The sequence below is a fragment of the Homo sapiens genome, chromosome 1 (genome assembly GCF_000001405.40).
Source record: "Homo sapiens chromosome 1, GRCh38.p14 Primary Assembly".
Lineage (NCBI taxonomy): Eukaryota > Metazoa > Chordata > Mammalia > Primates > Hominidae > Homo > Homo sapiens.
The window spans coordinates 152,097,712-152,115,771 of NC_000001.11; the positions used below are offsets into that span (position 1 = coordinate 152,097,712).

The 18,060-nt window shown below is 45.8% G+C and overlaps 1 protein-coding gene across 1 annotated transcript; it reads right to left on the minus strand.

The window, feature by feature from the left end:
* Positions 8,606 to 17,733, minus strand: TCHH (trichohyalin). The gene is made up of 3 exons (NM_007113.4): positions 17,680 to 17,733; positions 16,232 to 16,400; positions 8,606 to 15,367 (listed from the first exon to the last, which is right to left on the minus strand). Exons 2-3 carry the CDS (start codon positions 16,367 to 16,369, stop codon positions 9,674 to 9,676), a joined length of 5,832 nt encoding a protein of 1,943 aa, NP_009044.2. The 5' UTR covers positions 16,370 to 16,400; positions 17,680 to 17,733; the 3' UTR covers positions 8,606 to 9,673.

The window sequence follows — 18,060 nt, forward strand, 5'->3', positions numbered from 1 at the left end:
ACCAAGCCTCCTTAAAAATTATTTTGAATTCTTTGTCAGGTAGTTCATACATCTCCATTTCTTTAGGATCAGTGACTGGTGCTTTATTTTCTCCCTTTGGTGATGTCATGTTTCCTTGAATGTTCTTGATCCTTGTGTCTATGTGGTGGTCTATGCATTTGAAGAAGTGAGTACTATTCCAGTCTTTGGAGACTGGCTTTGTCTGGGAAAGCCTTTCACTGTCAGCTCTCCAGAGATGCTGAGCAGACCATCTAGTGACTGGAATAATACCTTTAGTTTTCACAATTGTTTTCCACTGCCTCCTCTCCTTAAAGCTCTCCCATTTGCTGATTCTCAATACATTGCACTTTCTGTCTCTTTGGAACCCATAGTCCACACATTTATCTTTCAGTCTCTGACTGTATTCACTTTTTTTTCCATGCTTAGATTCTGTAATGGTCAATTTTATATGTCAATTTGGCTGGGCCACAGTGCCCAGATATGTGGTCAAACATTATTCTGGATGTTTCTGTGGGGGTGTTTTTGGATGATATTAACATTTAAATATCTGGACTTTGAATAATGAGGATTGCCTCCATAATGTGGGTAGGCCTTATATAGTCAGTTTAAGGCTTGAATAGAAAAAACAATAAAAGACTAACATACTTGTTAGTAGGAGGAAATTTTGCGACCAGATGACTATTGGGCTTGAACTGCAGTATTGGCTCTTCCCTCGGTCTTAAGTTTGCCAGCCCACCCTGCAGATTTTGGACTTGCCAGCCTTTTTTATTGGGTAAACAAATTCCTTAAAATAAATGTACACACTATTTATATGAAAGCGATTCTGTTTCTCTAGAGAACACTGACTGATACAGATTTCATGGTCCATTACTTCAACAAACCCATTTCTTGCTGGTATCCTCAGTTCCCTCTCCCTGTTTATCTTTCAGTCACACCTGCCAGGAAAAAATCTCAGCCCTGGTTGGGTCTCACTCTGTTTTTTGCATCTGTGCTACTGAGCATGGCTGGAGAAAAGTCCCACAGCTGAATACGTTGGTGCCATGACAAATTCATAATTTCTAACTTCAAATGGAAACTCACTTTTTGGTGATTATAGAGCTTCTATGGTTAGTTTTCTGTGTTCTACAACAGTTATTTTAAACCATCTCTACTCTCTTTAATTATTTGACCCCTTCCTTTCCCTTCTCACTCTTAAAACGTGGTCTTGTCTCTTTATTTTATAAAGAAAATAAAAATCATACCATGGAATACTACTCAGCCATAAGTAAGAATGAAATAATGTCTTTTGCAGCAACTTGGATGGAACTGGAGGACATTATTCTGGGTGAGTTAACTCAGGAATTGAAAACCAAATGCCGCATGTTCCCACTCATGAGTGGGAGCTAATCTATGGGTACACAAAAGCATACAGAGTAGTATAATGGACACTGAAAACTCAGAAGCAGGGAGGAAGTAAGGAGGGTGAGGAATGAAAAACTACCTACTTGGTATAACATATACTACTCAGGTGGCTGGTGCATTAACATTCTAGACTTTAGCACTATGTAATTCATCCCTGTAACAAAAAACCACTTGTATCCCTAAAGCTATTGACATAAAAAATTAACAAAGAAAAGAAAAATCAACAAGTCAAAATTCCTAAACTTTCATGGAATCACAAACTTGCTGGCATTTATTTGCATTCATGTTTTCTTTCTGTTACATAGAAAAGTGTTCATCTAAGCATAATCTGTCTCCCTGGATGTTATCTTCTCCTGCCTTCTTGGGAAACTTGCTATGTTGATCATTCCCTCACTTTTCTATACTTCAGTCTTTCTTTATTGGTTCTTTCCTGTTAACATTTACACATACTCAAGTCTTGCTCATTTTGCTAAATCCTGCCTTGTGCACACAACCCCACTTGACATTTCTGCTCCCCTTCATAGTTACTATTCTTTTTTTTTTTTGAGATGGAGTCTCTTTCTGTCACCCAGGCTGGAGTGCAGTGGCATGGTCTTGGCTCACTGCAACCTCTGCCTCCTGGGTTCAAGTGATGCTCCTGCCTCAGCCTCCCAAGTAGCTGGGATTACAGGCACCTGCTCCCATGCCCAGGTAATTTTTTTTGGTATTTTTAGTAAAGATGGGGTTTTACCACGTTGGCCAGGCTGGTCTCAAACTGCTGACATTCTTCTTAGCAGGAGGACATTATTGTTGTCAGGTAGCATCCTTATTGTCAGGTGATCTGCCCGCCTCGGCCTCCCAAAGTGTGGAGATTACAGGCATGAGCCATCATTCCCGGCCATAGTTAGTATTCTTGAAAAATTTATCTTTTTATGTTTCTACTTATTTTCCTTATATTCCTCAACCCATTCCATTGACCGTCACTGACCACCATGTTACCAAATCATCAGGTGCTTTTCAGCACTTATCTTACTGGGCTTCTCAGAAATACTTGACGATAATTACCTCCTCTTTCTTGCAGCATGTTCTTTCCTAGCTTTTGTGACACCATACATACCTGGTTTTCGATCTACCTCTCTGACTGCTTCTTTCGATTCTCCTTTTTAGTTAGTTTTTTTTTTTTAACTTTTGCCATTTTAAAAAATGTTGCTGTTCCTCAGGGTCTGTCCTAGACTAGTTCTCCATCTTTTTTTTTTTCTGATACGGAGTTTCTTTCTGTCGCCCAGGCTGAAGTGCAGTGGTGTGATCTCGGCTCACTGCAACCTCCGCCTCCTGAGTTCAAGTGATTCTCCTGCCTCAGCCTCCTCAGTAGCCAGGACTACAGGCACACGCCACCAGGCCCGGCTAATTGTTTTTGTATTTTTTGTAGAGACGGGGTTTCACCATGTTGGCCAGGCTGGTCTCGGTCCCCTGACCTCAGGTAATCTGCCCACCTTGGCCTCCCAAAGTGCTAGGATTACAGGCATGAGCCACTGCACCCGGCCAGTTTTCCATCTTCTTCTTCCCGTATGTCCTGAAGAATAATCTCATCTACTCTATGGCTTTGATTACTATTGATATGTTGATATTTTCCATTTACATATAAAATCTGAACCTATCACCTGAACTCCAGACCCATGAAACCAATTGCCAAAAAGATATCAGTTTTTGAAGCCTCAAAGGCACCTCCAACTCAGTGTAGGTAAAACTGAATTTGTCATCTCCTCTCACTACAGTGAGCCTCCTTTGTGCTTTCATCTCAGTGATGACACCACTATCCACTCAGTTTCCCCAACTATAAATCTAATATCATCTTTTATCTCCTTCTCTCCATCATCTCTTCAATATATTACCAACTTCTACTGATTTTAATTCTCGAATATATTCATTGCTCTCTTTCCCCACCCCCACTATCCTAGCTGGGCCATCATTGTCTCTTATGGAACTACTGTAATAGCCTTCTAATGTTTTCCTTGTTTCCGTTGTGACCCTCTCCAACCCATTCTCCACACTGCAGCCTGAGTGATCCTCATAAACTGTCAATCTGGTTAATCACTTCGCTGCTTAAAATGACAATGATTTTTTGTTGCCCTCAAGATAAACTTAATATGGTTTGCAAGGCCCTCATAAACCTTGCTAACTTCATGTTTTCCATGTATCTCTTGGTATTCTAGGTTCTAGTCAGATTTAATGCTTACTTCCTTGAACCCAATGTGCTTTCTCTTGCCTCCGGACTTAATTTCACTCTTTCTTTTCCTGTTCACCAGGGTAACTTCCTCCCTATCCTCAGGTTTCAGCTTTAACACCAGTTACCTTAGGGAAGCCTTTGTTGACCCCGCTAAACTGAGTTAGATATTTCTGTTGTTATTAACTCTGAGCTTCTCTGACCATTGCATTCGTAGCAAGATGGTGTGAAATTCATCTCACTAGCCTACTTCTACCCATCTCCTCTTTACATATGGTCAGGGATGAAACCTGGGGATTGACTTGGTCATGGTCCACATGTTAAAGCTAATGTGGCCAGGTGCAGTGGCTCATGCCTGTAATCCCAACACTTTGGGAGGCCGAGGTGGGCATATCACTTGAGGCCAGGAGTTCGAGACCAGCCTGGCTAACATGGCAAAATCTGTCTCTACTAAAAATACAAAAATTAGCCAGGTGTAATCCCAGCTACTCGGGAAGCTGAGGCACAAGAATCTGTTGAACCCGGGAGGCGGAGTTTGCAGTGAGCTGAGATCATGCCACTGCACTCCAGCCTGGGTGACAAAGCGAGACCCTGTAAAAGAAAAAAAAAAAGCAAATGTGAAGACATTTTGTAAGGTGCTCCAGGGAAAAAGGGAGGCAAGTGTACTCTTAGCATAAGACCAAGGTTATTATTTCATAAGAAATAGGGTCAAAGTAATGTTAATAGGAGGAATAAAATTGACATATATATACCAGAAAAGGAGGCTTTCATAAGGAAAATAATCCTCATAGTAATGAATTGCATTTGAACTCAAGTGCATGAGAAAACCAGCCACAACCTGGAGTTAAAATCTCACTTCTGTTTCTCACTTCACCCACACCCCAACAATACATGGGACAAGAACTCATCTTTCCCTCCACCTATGCCTGCATTCTCATCCCACTAAGGGGCACTGACAGATGCTAAGACCAGTGCTCACTGTAATTCCCAGGTAGAACTTAAATAGATGGAGAAGAAATAATGCCTCAGTAATGCCCAAGGTTGAGGAATTTTCAAGATACAAGAAAGGACTTAGGGATTCAATATTCAGAAGGGAGGGCTGCATATTTCACAGATAGGCAATAGAGGCCCTCAACAGAAAAGAGCTATAAAGGATATATTAGTTCACTCATTTAATATGTATCTATTGAGTGTCTGCATTGTGCATCTAATTCTCATGAGTCCTTGAGTCATATTTTAGCATGAAGTTAGGAAAGCTTCAGCCAGGCATGGTGGCTCACGCCTGTAATCCCAGCACATTGGGAGGCTGAGGCAGGCGGATCACCTGAGGTCAGGTGTTTCAGACCAGCCTGATCAATATGACGAAACCCCATCTCTACTAAAAATACAAAAATTAGCTGGGCCTGGTGGGCTCCTGTAATCTCAGCTACTCGAGAGGCTGAGACAGGAGAATCGCTTGAACCTGGGAGGCGGAGGTTGCAGTGAACGCAGACCATGCCGTTGCATTCCAGCCTGGGCAGCAAGAACAAAACTCCAACTAGTAACACCAACTGTTTCCCAAAAACTTATTGAAATAAAAAAAAGTATAAAGCCAACTAAGGCAAAATATTGTAACCAATTAATGAGTAGTGAAGATAATAGATGTTTGTCTTAGAATCTCAATGAAGAGAGAGATCATTGTGTGTCAGAGTGATTAGGGAAAGATTTTAGGGAGGAGGTGGGACTCAGCCTAGGTCTTATAAACTGCATAGAAATTGTCCAGATAGCCAGGAAGGAGAGAAGCACTTCAAATAGATAAAAGTATGCCAATATGTCCTTGAAGTAAAGACAATCATAAGGCATCATAATGACAACAAATAGACTAGTCTGGTTTGAGCACATTCTTGGCTGCAGAAGTTATCATGGGAGCCAGGGTTTAAAAGGTGAATTGACACTAAATAGTGGAGGGCCTTAAATTCCAAACTGAAAATCTTGGATTTTATCTTGCAGAAATTGCCACACAATTTTTTTTAAAAGAAGAGTGGTGACAAATCAGATTTTTAAAATCTTTTGTTATTTGAATTCCTGTCATGGATGTTTTAAGGGTTCAGAAAATGATAACCTGCTCAAAAATCTATCTTTTGGGTTAGTTTCAGATCATGGCATGTGACTGTCAGCTCTTTACTAACAAGGGAAAAGTGCTTATTACATATTGCATAGATTATAATATTTGACAGAGTATACTTGCTGAAAAAACTTATAATTACCATGACAATGCAAATATTAGCAATGTGCAATTAGTGCAGAAGATGGAGCAGAGGTGGGTGCTTACAGTACTTAAGTACTGACTACTGAATTTTAGTTTGAGTGGGACCCAATTCTAGAACTCAGTTTAGTTTTCTCTTCAGAAAAGAAAGAGAATAATTAAATGTATATGTCAAGTTCATAAATAGAGGGACAATGATCTTTGGTAGTACCAGGGTCAAAGAAAATGGGGTAGGTTTAGGGTATTTTCCCTCAGTGAATAAATGTGGGATGATAGGAGGGGGCTCTGGGAAGGGGTTTGGGAGACAAATGGAGGGAAGTTCAAAGGTGATTGGGCAGGAAGGGAAGATCTTTGAAGCCGGAACTAGGCTCTGATAATCACTTTCATCAGTCATTTATTTTTTCCTTTTTTTGTGTGTGTTAGCTAAAGGTAGAAGTTGATGTTAGGCATTATTTGAGTTTCTTTGAGAGTTTCTATTGAACAAGCTGAATGCTGGTATTAAAATAATTTTATTTTCAGTCCTGAGAATAACCTTGGTGATAGCTATTCCAGCCTCATAGTTTTAAATACAAAATAATGAAGGCCCAGAAACCTTAAGTGGCTTGGACAAGGACATACAGATAGTAAAGTGAAGAAACAAGCCACTGTATGTATACTGCCTGGAACAATGCCTGGCACATAGCAGGAGCTCAATAAATACTTATTGAGTGAATAAATGAATAAACCCAAGGCTTTTGATTCCTTGTAGCATTCTTTCTACTCTACCATATAAATTATGGCAGATTTAATGGGAAAACGATTTATATTTGAGCAACCAGAACCTGCTTGCACAATGTCAAAGGATAATGATCATCATGATACAGATAGGCTTACCTAGCAACATAATGCCATCTTACTGATACATATTGTATTAGTTTGCTAGGGCTGTCATAGCAAGGTACCATAGACTAGGTGGCTTGAACAACAGAAATTTATTTTCTCACAATTCTGGGATCTAGAAGTCCAAGATCAAGGTGTTGCCTGAGCTGGTTTCTTGAGAGGGCCATGAGGGAAGGACCTGTTCTAGGATTATATCCTTAGCTTGTCGATGGCCATCTTCTCCCTGTATCTTAACATCATCTTCTCTCTGTCCATGTTTGTGTCCAAATTTCATCTTCTTATAAGGACATCAGTCATATTGGATTAGGGCCCAAACTAATAACCTCATTTTAATTTAATTACCTCTATAAATACCATATCTTCAAATATGATTACATTCTGAGGTACTGAGGGTTAAGACTTCAACACGTGAACCTCTGTGGGGGTTGGGAGGTCACAACACATAGAGACCAGCTTTTCTATCACTGCATATTAAACTCTTGATTGCGTTCCCCAGCAGCAGCCTAAGTGATGCTAATAGAGTTCCCAGTTTATAATTAAGTAGGCAATTGCCCAACAGCCTCCAGGTTCTGCAAATGCATGTGTATCATTCAGGTGGAGCAGGAGGCTTGGCCTGCATGTTCTCCTGCCAGCATGCTAAAATAACAGCTAGAGGGCACGGGCTGGCTGACACATTTTTTTTTAAACTACATGTTATTATAACTGTGATGAAACAATACTTTCTTCTTTGGAAATTGGCTTTACCTTCTTGTAAAGTGCTACAAGTCCCCAGGGCTTTGCTTATTTTTACCATAATTATCATTGTTAAACTGTAGCTTAGCTGATGAAGTGTATATTTCAGTGGTATCCTGAGGTTGGGCATTTATAAGGAGGCTCTTGAATGAGTACCCATAGAGGGTCCTGAGGAAAGTCAGTGAAGCTCTTCCAGAATTTCTTTGAAGGTGCTTAAGTAAGAAAAAGAGTATACTTTAGGGGAAAAATAGTTTTGCAGTTAGAAATCATTTGAAAGAGATGAAATTCCAAGACAATGTCAGGGGATTCCCAGGTTATGTCTTTGGTGGGCATCTGCCATTTGTTAAAGTGAGAGAGAGAGAAGCTGTGCTTCTTGAAGAAAATGCCATCTTACTCTATCAGAATGATACTCAGGAGCCATAAGCCTAGCTTGTCTCCACCACTGATCAAAATGTTGAGTGACTATAACTTTAGGGCATCTTCTCATCATGATCTTAGAAATGACATTGTTTTGATCAGGGCCTTCTTGGGCTTATTTCTAGTTAGTAAACTATGAATACTAAAAATAAGAATCCAGCAGGCAGCACAGGCGTGTTTGTTATTATCTAATAAATTATTATCTAACAAGATAATAATTTGATACTTCAGCCTGATTACTATTAAGTACCTTCTGACTCAGTCACCTCATGGATTATGTTGCTTAAATTAACAGGACATCTACAGTTTTTATAGTGCTGATCTGAAGTTTCAGGCCATTTTCTATCATTGGCTCATCAGACATCAGAGACTAAGAAGCTGCTGCATTCTCTAAAGGAAATATTAACAAATATTGGGAGCACCAGTATTTGTCATGACCAGTGAGTCGCTGCAAGAAATGGCATAGAAAGCTGTGGGGTCAAGAACAAAAACACTCTGGAAGGCAATCTCAGTGTGGGGATGGAAATAGAGTTCAGCCTAACTGCAAAAAAAAAAAAAAAAAAAAAAAAAAAAAAGGTTGGGGAAAAACAAAGAATTCTCTCCCCTCTTTTTTCGTATTTGGACATAGATAAGTAACAAAATGCCCTTATGTGATTGGGAACTTGTGTTAGTTTCCAGACAATGAGATCTTGTTATGATTGACGCAGAGTTAAAACAGACAAAAGTAGTTACTTGCCAAACATTTATTATTAATTTTTCACAGTCCAATTATTTCAACAAGAATATATCTAAGGTATTATCAATAGGCCTCAAATGATTGTGGGCAAATGGGTCTTGTCAAAGGGCCTCTAGAAATTTGCCCCTATGTTCACACATTTTTCCCTTTTACACCCCCAACATGCTCTATGTGATCTCTTATTGGCCCTAGAGTAAGACAGATGTTTATGGGATTCTGAGCAGCTTCCTTCTAACAAGCTAAAATTAACAAAGGTTCATAATATTCTGAAACTCATCAAAACTTGGGGAAGTAGAATGAACACTATAGACTACAACAGACACAGTTTTAAAATTTGAACTCTGAAGTTGAGAAACACCTCATTATTTCTTCATGAGATTATGTGTTTAAGTGGAGTTGAGTTTAAAAAAAATCTAATTTAAATTCTAAATCTTCAAAGCTAAACCTATTCTTAACAGATATTTCTTCCAGTAATGGGCTGATTTTACAGGAAGTTTTTATGCAGAGGTCACTCCCCCTGCACTATTCAAGGGTTATAAAAATTTAGTTACCTGGAATTTGTGCTAACTATGCCACAAAAGATGAAATGCTGTTTGGAGGCAATGATCAATTTAGGTTCAAGAAGAAATAGCAACTTGAACATTAAAAGTATCTGCACTTTCCACAAGATGGGTCAGTCATTAAACAAACCGACCCATTGTTTAGAATCTCAAATCATCCTATTACTCTTGTTACTTCTGAAAGCAATAAATGAACATGTTCCTCAAACAAAATTTCTTAAACAAATTAAATGATTTATATTTTTTTTAAATGCACACCACATCTGCATCAAAGAGCAAAAGAAAGACATCTTGCAGTAAAGAACTACTTGAGGAAGAATAAAAAGCAGAAGTACAAAGTGCGTAAAATGAGCGTAGTTTAAGATTTTGGAAGAAAAGACATTCTAATATCAGAGAGTTTTCCCACAACCAGAAACATCTGAGTTATCACTTGGTACCCAGTGTTTCTCATTTTCCCGTGCTCGAAGCTTTGGCAGGTGTCAAGATATTGGCAACATCACTTAAGGGCGGTATTGAGATCTCTGCTCTTGGATGTACTCATAGAGAGGGCTGGAGCGCACTGGGACACTGGCAAACTGATGAGTGCCGGGCTCCAGAAGCCGCCCATGGCCCTTCCCTTCTTGGGATTTTATCTCCCCGACTTGGCGGTGCCTCTGTTCCTCCTTCTGCTGGCGGCGGATGTGTTCTTCCCGTAATTTCCTTTCCCGTTCCTGGCGACGTTTCTGCTCCTCTTCTTGCCATAGTTCTTGTTCCTCACGACGACTCTTCTCCTGCGTGGCAAACTGCTCCTCCGCCCGGTACTGCCGGTCTCGCTCCTGCCGCAGCCTCTGCTCTTGTTCCTCAAGTTGGAGCTGCTCTTCTTCCCAGCGATACTTTCCGTCACGCTGTTGGGGGCGCAGCTGCTGTTCTTCCCTCTCCTGGCGTAGCTGTTCCTCCTCGCGGAATTTTCTGTCAGACTCTTGGCTGCGCAGCTGCTGTTCCTCCCTCTCCTGGCGGAGCTGTTCCTCCTCGCGGAATTTTCTGTCGCGCTCCTGGCGGCGCAGCTGCTGTTCTTCCCTTTCCGGACGGAGCTGCTCTTCCTCTAGGATTTTTCTGTAGCGTTCTTGGCGGCGCAGCTGCTCTTGCTCCGTTTCTTGGCGCAGCTGTTCCTCCTCACGGAATTTTCTCTCCAGTTCCTGGCGGCGCAGCTGCTGTTCCTCCTGGAGGAATTTTCTCTCTCGTTCCTGACGGCGGAGCTGCTGTTCCTCTTCGCGGAATTTTCTGTCACGCTCTTGGCGGCGCAGCTGCTGTTCCTCCCCTTCCTGGAGCAGCTGTTCCTCTTCACGGAATTTTCTGTCGCGGTCGTGACGCAGCTGTTGTTCGCGCTCCTGGCGGCGCAGCTGCGGTTCCTCCTCGAGGAATTTTCTGTCACGCTCTTGGCGGTGCAGCTGCTGTTCTTCCCTTTCCTGGAGCAGCTGTTCGTCTTCGCGGAATTTTCTGTCGCGCTCCTGGCGCAGCTGTTGTTGGCCCTCCTGGCGGCGCAGCTGCTGTTCGTCCTCCATGAATTTTCTCTCTTGTTCCTGGCGGCGCACTTTCTGTTCCTCTAAACGGAATTTTCTGTCACGCTCTTGGCGGCTCAGCTGCTGTTCCTCCCTCTCCTGGCGCAGCTGTTCCTCCTCGCGGAATTTTCTGTCACGGTCCTGACGCCGCTGTTGCCCGCGCTCCTGGCGGCGCAGCTGCTGTTCCTCCTGGAGGAATTTTCTCTGCCGTTGCTGGCGGTGCAGCTGCTGTTCCTCCTCGAGGAATTTTCTCTCTGGTTCCTGACTGCGCAGTTCCTGTTCGCGGAATTTTCTGTCACGCTCTTGGCGGCGCAGCTGTTGTTCCTCCTCCAGGAATTTTCTGTCACGCTCTTGGCGGTGCAGCTGCTGTTCTTCCCTTTCCTGGAGCAGCTGTTCCTCTTCGCGGAATTTTCTGTGACGCTCCTGGCGCAGCTGCTGTTCCTCCTCCAGGAATTTTCTCTCTCGTTCCTGGCGGCGCACCTGCTGTTCCTCTTCACGGAATTTTCTGTCACGCTCTTGGCGGCTCAGCTGCTGTTCCTCCTCGCGGAATTTTCTGTCGCGGTCCTGACGCAGCTGTTGCTCGCGCTCCTGGCAGCGCAGCTGCTGTTCCTCCTTAAGGAATTTTCTCTCCCGTTCCTGGCGGCGCAGCCGCTGTTCCTCCTCGAGGAATTTTCTCCCTTGTTCCTGATGGCGCAGTTCCTCTTCGCGGAATTTTCTGTCACGCTCTTGGCGGCGCAGCGGCTGTTCCTCCCTTTCCTGGAGCAGCTGTTCCTCCTCGCGGAATTTTCTGTCTGTCTCTTGACGGCGTCTCTTCTCTTCTCTTTCCTCTCTCAGCAACTGCTTTTCCTCTTGGGACTTCCTGTCGCGCCTTTTGGCTTCCTTTTGCTCTTCTCGCTCCAGCTGTTCTTCCTCTGGGAAATGCCTGTCGCGCTGCTGCCAGCGCCTCCTCTCTTGCTCACGATCTCGCTCTTGCTGTTCACCCAGCAGGTGCTGCAGATCTTGCTGGGATTGTCTGTCGCGCAGCTGGGAATCTTCCAACTGCCGGAACTGTTCATTCTCTCTGCCTTTGCAGTAAACCTTGTTATCACGAACTGCATTTTCTTTTTCTGGTTCCCACTGCCATTTCAGATCACTGCGCTGATCCTCATCCCGGTATCGCTGCTTCCTTTTCTGGCGCTGAAGCTCTTCCTCCTCCCGATACTGCCTCTCCCGCTCCTGGCGCCTTTTCTCCTGTTCCTCTCTCAGCAGCTGCTCTTCCTCCTGCTGCAGCTCCTCTTCCTCGCGGTATTGCCTCTCCAGCTCCTGGCGCCTTCTCTTCTCCGGTTCCTCTCTCAGCAGCTGCTCTTCCTCCTGCTGCACCTCCTCTTCCTCCCGATATTGCCTCTCCAGCTCCTGGCGCCTTCTCTTCTCCCGTTCCTCTCTCAGCAGCTGCTCTTCCTCCTGCTGCAGCTCCTCTTCCTCCCGACATTGCCTCTCCCGCTCCTGGCGCCTTCTCTTCTCCGGTTCCTCTCTCAGCAGCTGCTCTTCCTCCTGCTGCAGCTCCTCTTCCTTCCGATATTGCCTCTCCAGCTCCTGGCGCCTTCTCGTCTCCCGTTCCTCTCCCAGCAGCTGCTCTTCCTCCTGCTGCAGCTCCTCTTCCTCCCGATATTGCCTCTCCCGCTCCTGGAGTCTTCTTTTCTCCCGTTCCTCTCTCAGCAGCTGCTCTTCTTCCTGCTGCAGCTCGTCTTTTTTGCGGTACTGCCTCTCCCACTCCTGGCGCCTTCTCTTCTCCCGTTCCTCTCTCAGCAGCTGCTCTTCCTCCTGCTGCAACTCCTCTTCCTCGCGGTATTTTTTCTCCCGCTCCTGGCGCCTTCTCTTCTCCGGTTCCTCTCCCAGCAGCTGCTCTTCCTTCTGCTGCAGCTTCTTATCCTTCCGATATTGCCTTTCCCGCTCCTGGCGTCTTCTTTTCTCCCGTTCCTCTCTCAGCAGCTGCTCTTCCTCCTGCTGCAGCTGCTCTTCCTCGCGGTATTGTCTCTCCTGTTCTTGGCGCCTTCTCTTCTCGCGCTCCTCTCTCTGTAGCTCCTCCTCCTCCTCCTGCAGCAGCTGCTGTTCCTTCCTCAGCTGCTCTTGTAGGGCTGGCTTGGCGTACAGCGTGTGGCGGCGTCTCTTCCTTTCTTCTTCTAGTTGCCACCTCCATTTTTGGTCGCGGCGCTGCTCCTGGCTTCGCCTCCTCTCCTGATCCTCCTGGAGGCCGTCCTCCTCCTCCTGGAGCTGTTGGGCACGCTCCCGCCGCTGGAGCTGCTCCTCTTCCTCCAGGAACTGCAGCTCTTTCTCCCTCTCGCGTCGCTGGCGGCGCCGCTGCTCCTTCTCCTCCTCCTCCGGGAGAAACCGTTGTTCCCGCTGCTGGCGCTCCTCGGCCCTCAGCTGCCTCTCCCGCTGCTCCCGCAATGGGGGCCTGGCCGACAGCCTCTGACGGCCCCTCTCGCTCTTTTCCTCCGCCTGCCACTGCCATGTGAAGTCCCGGCGCTGCTCCTCTTCCTGCTGCTGCCGGTGAGCCCGTTCCTCCTCCTGCCATTGCAGCTCACTCTCCCGGCGCCGCCTCTTTTCCTCCTGCTCTTGGCGGCGCCTCTGCCCTTCCTGCTTGCGGGGCCTCGAGTAGACTTTGCTTTGCCGTGCGTCGGCCTCGCTTTCTAGCTGCCACTGCCACTTCGGGATGCGGCTCTTAATCCGCTCCCGGGCCTGTTCCTGCTCCTCCTCAGCTAGCTCCTGCTCGCGCCTCTCTTCCTCATGCTCGCGCTTCAGCCGCTGCTCGAGCCTCTCTTCCTCCTCCTCGCGCTTCAGCCGCTGCTCGCGCCTTTCCTGCTGCTCGCGCCTTAGTTGCTGCTGGCGCCTCTCCTCCTGCTCCTCGCTCTTCAGCAGCTGCTGGCGCCTCTCTTCCTCCGGCTCCTCGCGCTTCAGCCGCTGCTCGCGCCTCTCCTCCTGCTCGAGTCTCTCCACCTCCTCGCGCTTCAGTCGCTGCTCGAGCCTCTCTTCCTGCTCGCGCTTCAGCCGCTGCTGGCGCCTCTCCTCCTCGCGCTTCAGCAGCTGATCGCGCCTCTCCTCCTGCTCGCGCTTCAGCCGCTGCTCTCGCCTCTCCTGCTCGAGCCTCTTCTCCTCCTCGCGCTTCAGCAGCTGCTCGCGCCTCTCCTCCTGCTCGCGTCTTAGTTGTTGCTCGCTCCTCAACCGCTGCTGGAGCCTCTCTTCCTCCTCCTGGCGCTTCAGCCGCTGCTCGCGCCTCTCCTCTTGCTCCCGCCTTAGTTGCTGCTCGCGCCTCTCCTGCTGCTCGCGCCTCTCCTCCTCCTCGAGCTTCAGCCAACGTTCGCGCCTCTCCTCCTCCTGGTCGCGCTTCAGCTGCTGCTTGCGCCTCTCCTGCTCGTGCCTCTCCGTCTCCTCCTCGCGCTTCAGCCAATCGCGCCTCTCCTCCTGCTCGCGCTTCAGCCGCTGCTCGCGCCTCTCCTGCTCGTGCTTCTGCTCGTGCCTCTCCTCCTCCTGCTCGCGCCTCAGCTGCTGCTCGCGCCTCAGCTGCTGCTCGCGCCTCAGCTGCTGCTCGCGCCTCAGCTGCTGCTCGCGCCTCAGCTGCTGCTCGCGCCTCAGCTGCTGCTCGCGCCTCAGCTGCTGCTCGCGCCTCAGCTGCTGCTCGCGCCTCAGCTGCTGCTCGCGCCTCTCCTCCTCCTGCTCGCGCCTCAGCTGCTGCTCGCGCCTCTCCTCCTCCTGCTCGCGCCTCAGCTGCTGCTCGCGCCTCTCCTCCTGCTCGCGCCTCAGCTGCTGCTCGCGCCTCTCCTCCTGCTGCTCGCGCCTCTCCTGCTGCTCGCGCCTCTCCTCCTGCTGCTCGCGCCTCTCCTCCTCCTGCTTGCGCCTTAGTTGCTGCTCGCGCCTCAGCCTTTGCTGCTGCTGCTCTTCCTCCTGGCGCTCCCTCCTCAGCTCTTGCCGCTCCAGCTTCCGTAGCTGCTCTTCTTCCTCCTGGAGCTCTCTTTGCCGCTGCGGCTCCTCTTCCTGCAACTTCTCTTCTTCCTTCCGGAGCACTGTCTCGCGCTTCCTCCACTCTTTCTCTTCTTCCTCCTGGAACACTCTGTCTTGCCGCTCTCGCCTTTGCTGCTGTTTCTCCTCGCGGCCCTTCCTCCTCAGCTCCAGCAGCTCCCGCCTTCGCAGTTGCTCTTCGTCTGGAAACTCCTCAGTTTCGTGACCTTTGCAACTCTGCAGCTGCTCTTCCTCTGCACGGCGCTCTTCCCGTTCTTGCCATTCTTGCCTTTGCCGCCACAGCTCCTCGTCGCGGCGCTGCCTGTCGCGCTGTTCAAGTCGCTCTTGTTTCTCACTTTGCTCCTCTCCCTCAGCTAGCTCCCTCTCCTGTTCCTGCCTCTTCTGCCTGCGTCGTTGCCCAGGTTCTTCTTCCAGTTGTCTGTCCCGGGGCTCGAATCTCCTTTGGTCTTCTTCTTGCCTGCGATCTTGTAACAGGCTCTCCTTTCCGTCACACCGGGCTCGCTTCTCCTCATCCAGTCCCGTGGCCTGGCCGAGAGCATAGTAACAAGCTTGAGCCACTTTGAAAATAAATAGGAGGAATTCGTTGAAATCGACACGCCCATTACTGTCAAGATCCAGAAGTTCCAGGATCAGATCTACCGTCTTAGGGTCATGTGGTCTCTATAAAAATGGTGAAAACAAAAATTTTACAATGCACTATTTACAGGTGGTAAAATTATATTCACACATGATATATTTTATGCTATGCTGACATTCAAGAGACATTCAGAGCAATTAGAAAAATGTCCAGTGTGTATCAAGTTTTGTCCCCATGTAAAATGTGAACCCTCACTTTAAAGCATATATTCGTTTGAAATTTTTACATCTCGTAATTTAGTGCTGATCAAACCTAAGGAAGCAGGAAGAGAGACACAAAGTAGAATAGCAGGTAAGCCTACGCACCTTAGAGGCAGAGCCTGAGGTGAAGATTCAAAACAGCATCGTGAACTTGTGTGTAAAATTAACAAAGCTACTCAACATCAAGAAAGAATAACACAAGTTCGCTTTAATTGAGAAAGAATGAACTCATCCTTGAGAGAGATACAATAGAAATTTATGAGGATTTGCAGTAGCCATTTCTGTCTGAAGCAGCCAGTATTCTTGATTTGGTTTCTATTCCATATTAGAAAACAGAACAAAACATTTACGGGTAGCACCATTTTAATAGAGATCAGGCTGATCTCAGTTTTGAAATTTGGAAACAAATTTAAGTTCCTCCAAGTCTAGTGTGATTTGACATCTTTTGTGGTAATGTCCCATGAAGAGCTCATTCACATGGCCATGCCATCAAGTACATGAAATACTTTATTATTCAGACTACAATGTCAAGTAAGTACCTTTTGACTCAGAAATGAATGGGGGATGTAGTGTAGACCTGTTGTGGTGTAAAATGAATATAAAACCACCATTCCTTGCTCTGGTCTCCTCTGAGAATAAATCTCATAGCCTCAAGTCAATAGATCTCATTTTCTTGTTAGTTCTTACCCGAAGCACAGCTCCAAATTCCCTTTCAAGGAGGTTCTTCAGGTCTTTCTTAGTTAATGCTGCTCCATCACAATCATGAGAGACATACTGATTGAAAATTTCAGTGATGTCACAGATGCTTCTCAGAAGTGGAGACATTTTTTTTTCTTTCCTTCAAGTTCAAGTAAACCTAGAACAATAAAATAAGATCCAGAATCAAAATCCCGTTTCTGCTTTTGGGAAGGCTTCATTCACACTATTTCAGGCAGATCCCTAAATAATTTGAATTTATAGCGGTAATTTCAACCTGGACTTTCAGAGCACTTTAATATTTGAATATTGTATCAGAAAGAGAAAGAGCGATCCTGAGAAATTCCAAGCCAGGGAATCATCTTCAGACTATCCTGTTGTCAGCTTTTGATTGTCCACCCAATGTGGATTATCTATGCCCTTTTCTTCTGTCTTTCTTCCAGCTCTCCACCGTATTTCAGAGTAGAAAATTAAGAGAAGAGTGCAGAAATTAAAATTTTATATATGTCTACACACCTTCCTTTAAAGTTGAGCGAAGAGGACAGGTAAAAGCCAAAAGGTGAAGGAAGACTTGAGAGTATCTTAAAGTGGATAGAGGCCATGTCAGCAAAACAGTTGGTAGAAAATAGAACAATGAAAAGGGAATATGAATGATTCCTCAACATTACAGTCCATAAAGGATTTAGGAACTCTTATAGAATATAATTTGTAAGTCAGCAATTCTAAGATTAAATAGTACTTCTTCCTAGTCAAAAGATGGCATTGTAACATTCAGATACACAAATGCAGAAAACAGAGACTGTATATTACCTGCCTCAACTCAGATATAGTAAGATATTCGGATATTGAAGTATTGAAAGCTTCTGAGAGGTCCTTTCTAAACCAAACGGAATCCAGAAAACTGTGAATGATATTGGTTTTGTTAAACCCAAATGCATCATTGGAATCTTGGCTTTTTATAAAACATTAGCCAGCAGTAGATCAATGTTATAAGAATACATGGAATGGCTTTGCTGGTGGGATAAGTGTAGTCGTTCATCTAGCTGACTTCTTTATGTACTTCTCAACTCCAGTACCTTAAATGCTGTGACTGTATGAAGATGGCCCATATTAGGTAGAACCAATGTAAAAGAGAACAGAAGGCTGGCAAACTTTTGAGATAGCAGTTTTTAGGAAGATGAACCCTATCAGAGCCACACATGATCATCCTTGATGTGCAGAAGTATAGAGTTCAGAGCCCAAGGAGAAGGGTCATGCTTCAGTTCAAGTGATGGCTCCAACCATAAGAAGATGGGATAGAGTTAGTGATAGTTTATTTATCCCTGCAAAATACTGATACCTTCTGGCACATGGAACCTCCCCCCATATCCCAACATCTGAAATAGCTATAAAAATGGAGAATCATAAAGAAGACCACGATCCCACAGAATGGGACTTACCCACTTCACCAGAGGAAGAAGTCGACAGTGCTTGCTGACACCACAGGCAAGTGTACTGGGTAACTGGGAGCTGGGCCTTTTATAGGGGTTTTAATTGTGCCCTGGAAAGCAACTTGGGAAGGAGACACCCACTCTGTGGGATGGCCTGATTCATTCCTAACCAAGCCCAGCTCCACCTCTGTCTCCACAAATGGCTTGTTTATCTCACTATTTGCTCACGTAGCTATTTGGCACGAGGTTCACAGACCTTGCCTCCTGACAGTCAGGGTACCAGCCCCACCTAACATGGGAGGGTAGAATATTTGGCAGAATCTCCAATTTTCTTAAATTGTTAAAAGTAAATTAAATAATAAAACAAAGGTATTAAATGTTCACAATCTT

Coding starts and splice junctions, on each gene's coding strand:
- TCHH (NM_007113.4), bottom strand. CDS start 16,369: ATGTCTCCACTTCTGAGAAGCATCTGTGACATCACTGAAATTTTCAAT. Junction 15,368..16,231: donor AATTTGGAGCTGTGCTTCGG/GTAAGAACTAAC, acceptor CCATTTTTATAG/AGACCACATGACCCTAAGAC.